The sequence below is a fragment of the Homo sapiens genome, chromosome 18, assembly GCF_000001405.40.
Source record: "Homo sapiens chromosome 18, GRCh38.p14 Primary Assembly".
NCBI lineage: Eukaryota > Metazoa > Chordata > Mammalia > Primates > Hominidae > Homo > Homo sapiens.
In genome coordinates, this window is record NC_000018.10 from 60,370,282 (window position 1) to 60,373,643 (window position 3,362).

The following is a 3,362-nucleotide window of genomic DNA, read 5'->3' on the forward strand; positions in this document are numbered from 1 at the left end:
TATTTTAGTTATTTACAAATATTGCCAGAAAACACTTCTGCTATGAATTTGGTTTTGAAGTTTAAAATCCTTGATAATCAACATTTGTACTCCAGTTCAAAAAATCAGCAATAAGTAAACAGCAAGTCATTTTCATGTGAAATGAGAAAGAATTCGATGTCAGTCCTGTACTTCTCTAGAAACAGGAAGCTAAATCTCTCAGTACAATATTACCTTTTCTGGACACTTCAGCAGACCCTGAATCCTTGTTTAAAGGGGGCATAAATCCCCATTCTCTGTTTTATTAATATTGTTTAGGGATAATTTGGTAACAGGAAATTTAGCTTGACATGGCAACTTAGGTTTTCCAGGACACTTTCATCCCTATAGCTGCCTTTTCCCACCCACCCCAAACCGAATTGCCTGTGTGAAATATCAGGCTGTTTGCTAAGGGAGATGAATCTTTCTGTGTCTGAGAAGTACACATAGTTTTCTAACTCAGCATCTCTCTTTTTTCAGCACCTGTTTTTCTCTCTAGAGGAGCTTCATTTCTACTTCTGCACAGGGAGGATGAACAAACCTTTAATTAAATTACTTGAAATTTCAGTGATGATATTTTTAAAAATGATTATACATCTATTCTTTAAATATTTTCCCTTAACTGCTAGAATGAACTCTCTACATTTCAATGGTGGATAATATAATATAATAAAGCATTTATTAGAATATGTTTAATGAGGCTCTGATTTCTATGTTACGAAAGCACGCAAAGTGTCCAATGCTTATGAATAACACGAAGGAGACATTGTTAAGCTTTTAATAAGGACTTTTCTTTTTGTAAATCCACAGTGCCTACAACCTATAACATAGATTCATATTTTATGGCCAAAAAAGTAGCATGACATTGGAAATAATACAGAGACTGGGCATTTTTTCTCATTAAAAATCATAGGCTTAAATTTACACAATGGATATTCTCAACCAGTACCCTACACGGAAGAGAAAGCTGTTGCAGAAGTACAATATTCAGGTAGGGTAAGAGTGAAAAAGTCTCTTATGCATGTTCCTATATTGCGTGCTCTGTCCCCATTTAATATCTGCTAGACAAGTCACAAAGGCCTCCCAGGGGATAGCAACAGATGATCTCTTTGAAGGTTTTCCTCAGTTCTTGACTCCGGAGTGCATAAATCAGAGGATCGATGATTGAATTACACATGATCAGTATGAGATACAAGTTAAAGTGAGACATGAAGCACACACAATATGGATTCTGAGGACAAGAGATGTAGAATATTAAGTGGAGGAAGAATGGGGCCCAGCAGACAACAAAGACGCCAATCAGGATGGTCAAGGTAATCGCTCCCTTCATATTGGCACCTTGGCGGATGGCACCAGTGCCGGGGAGGACAGCAATCCTCTTAATGTGAAGCCTGGCCATCAGGAACATGTGGACATAGAGAGAAGCCATGAGAGCCAGCATGGTGAAGAACATGGTGATGAGGCAGATGATGACAGCACTACTATCTGAGTAAATGATGAACAAAATGCCTGAAACCGTGCAAGCTGCCCAGATACAACTTATGATGATCCCAACCCGCTTAACTGTCATAATGTTATGGTACTGGAGAGCATAGAAGATAGTAAAGTACCTGTCCACTGCAATTGAAAGCAGGCTGCAAATGGATGCAAGCAAGGAGCTACAGATCACCGAGTCAATGACATTATCAATATTCACTGTGAAACTCTGTGCATCCGTATCTGTACTGTTTAATAGGGTGATGACAATGGTTTCTGATCCATTTGAAACGCTCACCAGCATATCAGCCACAGCCAAGCTGCAGATGAAAAAGTACATGGGTGAATGCAGATTCTTGTTCTTGGCTATTGCCACAATCACTAAGATATTCTCCAACAAGCTGATGACACCCAGAGTCACAAACACCTCAGGAGAGACAAAAAGTTGCTCGTAGCACCCTCCATCAGAGTAGCCTTTTCCAAGGGACTCACTGGCATTGCTGTGCAGTCTGTAACTGCTGCGGTTCCAGAGGTGCAGAGAAGTGTGCATCCCACGGTGGGTGGAGTTCACCATGCTGGCAGGAGAATTCCAGTGTCCCCCTGAATTGATTTAACCTCCTGGGTCAGGGAGTCGTCTCAGTTATTTCCTCCAAGTCTTTATCTGTCTGAAAGTTGTGAGGCTAAAATTGCCATGCCTGCTGTGAGTAAATGTCACAAGTCCAGAGCTTGACATGGAGTTTTTAGTCTCTTTTAGGTACGACTCTAATCATCATCACTTTAAAATCTTGGGCTTCAAAATATTCATTCTCAGTTGAAAGAGTCTGCTCTTTGCTTTCTTGTTCTCACTTCTGCTTTAACTTTAATCTTATGCATTCAAGTCTGTTCAAAATAATTTTCCTTGAAGCTGCCATGCCATTGGGAGACGAATCTGTGCGCACATGCTCACATCGGCTGCCTCTCGGAAGCTTCTGTTTCCAGCCTGAGCGTTGCTTTGAGTGTTAGGGGCTGTAGGCGCCAGCTGCTGATTTTTATGATGTGTGGAGAGAAAAAAAACATGTTCACGGTGGCTCCTCCTCTGCTTCCTTCTGACCAATCCCAATGCAATGGGAGTCTGTGAGACAGGATTATGTTTCAGAGACACAAATTGCAGGGTGACACAGATTCAGATGCAGAAGCTCCTGAAGTCTGAAGTCGAGAAGCAAGCCGGATAAGAGACTGAATTTCCCTTTTTAAGTTTTCAAGGGAAACAACTTGATCCCTAGAGGCCATTCTGTGATATCAAAACAAGCTATCTTCAGGCAGCCAGGTTCATTCTTATGTAAAAGACATCATGTGTGTGTGTAAAATGAAATGGAAAGTATACTGTCTTATGTTCCTGAAACAGATACTCTGCTTTTTGGCTAGGATACTGAATTTATTTACCTTCTTAATTTTTTGTTTTTATTAAGAACCCAGCCAGTAGTGGTTCAGTTAAAATACCTGAAAAACAGAGAGGATATTTAATGATACAGATAGACATGGTATGGCTGGAAGAACTATGTAGGTAGCTATAAATTATGAATGGGTTCAAAAGGGGTTGATTTTAATGCACTAATATCCCATATTTCTCTATTGAGGAGTTTGTGTTATAGCTGAAAAAAGGTGCTTTTTATTTACAATATTTTAAACTCATACGGCATTAATGTAACTATGCTTACACTGAACTCAGGAAAATAATAAGCTGCATTCTGTTTTTTTTTTTTAAGCAACTTTTTTTTAAACCTCCAGAGTTTAACGTATCGTAAGTTGAACCGACAAATACCTAGTAACTTTACTTATCAAGCCAAGACTGGTGATACTAGTTAGTTATTGAAGTTTCTGAATATTTT

At 39.4% G+C, this 3,362-nt stretch overlaps 1 protein-coding gene across 1 annotated transcript; it reads right to left on the reverse strand.

Annotated features, from left to right (window-relative positions):
• Positions 781 to 2,494, reverse strand: MC4R (melanocortin 4 receptor). The gene has a single exon (NM_005912.3). It carries the CDS (start codon positions 2,066 to 2,068, stop codon positions 1,070 to 1,072), a length of 999 nt encoding a protein of 332 aa, NP_005903.2. The 5' UTR covers positions 2,069 to 2,494; the 3' UTR covers positions 781 to 1,069.

Excerpts from the sequence above, each read along its gene's own strand:
- MC4R (NM_005912.3), bottom strand. The coding sequence starts at position 2,068 with ATGGTGAACTCCACCCACCGTGGGATGCACACTTCTCTGCACCTCTGG.